General features: G+C 46.2%; 1 annotated feature.

Moving 5' to 3' along the window:
• Positions 202-807: an enhancer, noted in NCBI's record as "NANOG-H3K27ac-H3K4me1 hESC enhancer chr2:16349737-16350342 (GRCh37/hg19 assembly coordinates)". NCBI's record gives its function as "activates a minimal SCP1, AML or CMV promoter by ChIP-STARR-seq in naive and primed H9 embryonic stem cells {active_cell/tissue: H9 hESC(naive and primed)}" and the evidence as "EXISTENCE:reporter gene assay evidence [ECO:0000049][PMID:30033119]".

Consider the following 1,378-nt stretch of genomic DNA (forward strand, 5'->3'; position numbering starts at 1 on the left):
TGCCAGGAAATTATATAATCAATCCATTAATTAATCACACACACACATATACTTTCAGGGTGGGAAGCCGAGGGTATGTACTTTTCATTATCATTCAATTTTTGCAGCAGACTCATGCAGGAATCACTCTCGCTTACATTTCACAGAGAGGGGAAACTGAGGCCCTGCTATTCTCACTTCTGTTTTCGCAGATAGGTAAACTGAGGCCTGGGATAATTAAATGACTGATCGGCCCAAGCCTGAGCTGGGATTTGAACCAGGTTCTGTGTGATGACAAAGCCATTCACTGTGCTTTACGCTAAAGCGCCTCTGGTGAGGCTGGCCTGGAGGCATGCATAGATTGCACAAAAAGACCTGCACTGGGGCCACCACAGCTGAAACAGAGACTTCCAAGAACCCTCTTCAAAGCAGCCAGAGGCATTCAGCACTGCTCGGCATTCAGGCTGGAAGTATTTCCCCATTGTCTCCACCATCAGAGGTAAGTGACATCTTGAACGCCTCAAGAAGATTAAATAGCCCGGCTCCGTCGGAAAGCTTAAAAAAAAAAAAGACTGAGAGGGAGAGAGAGAGAGAAGAAAGGGGCCAAGTTGGCCATTATGGAGCTGGTCCTTTTTTGTCGGTGAAAGCGCTTTCAAGGAGCACCATTGGAAGAAGCGGCCCAGATAAGAAGACAATGACAGGAGCGGGAGAACTCCGAGAGGAACCCGGGGCTGGGCGCCGTGAATGCGGATTACTGCGGCTGGGGGCCGCCAAAGAAAAGGGGAATCCTGGTCAGGATGAAAATGAGGAATTACTTTTTTTCCCTTCCCCTCTGAGACTCCAGTTCACTGCGCAGCAACAATGCATGATGGGGGGCACTTGACATGCCCCTCTTCCAGGCCATGTTGGCGCCCCATGTGGGGCTCCCGGGGAACAAGGGCGGTGCAAACCCAAACAAAGCCGATTTTAACCCAATAAACTCACCCCACATTCTCCAATAGAAACGATGAAAGCTTGGGCTGCTGAATATCTGCCACTACCCAAACACACGGGACAAATAAGAAGTTTGGATTTGCAGATGTTTGAACATATGTAAACTTCATCTTCTATAAAATAATTCCTTCCTTCCTTCCTTCTTTCCTTTTAAAGTTTATTTACTTCCGTTTTTTTCTTTCTTTTCTCTCTCTCTCTTTTTTTCTTTCTTTCTAGGCTTTTGATGAGAGGAATACCAGGGGCTTTGGCAGCACTATTTGCAACTTTCTTGAAACAGCTTGTAGAATTCTAGTAGGTGATTAAGGTGGGATCCCCTGAGCAGGAAGAGATCGAATTTGCTCACTTCCTGGGAACATATGAAAAACCATACACTTTTAAAATGTAGTTTGTCTGAAGCTACCTCTGA

Source organism: Homo sapiens, chromosome 2 (genome assembly GCF_000001405.40).
Source record: "Homo sapiens chromosome 2, GRCh38.p14 Primary Assembly".
In the NCBI taxonomy this organism is placed as follows: domain Eukaryota; kingdom Metazoa; phylum Chordata; class Mammalia; order Primates; family Hominidae; genus Homo; species Homo sapiens.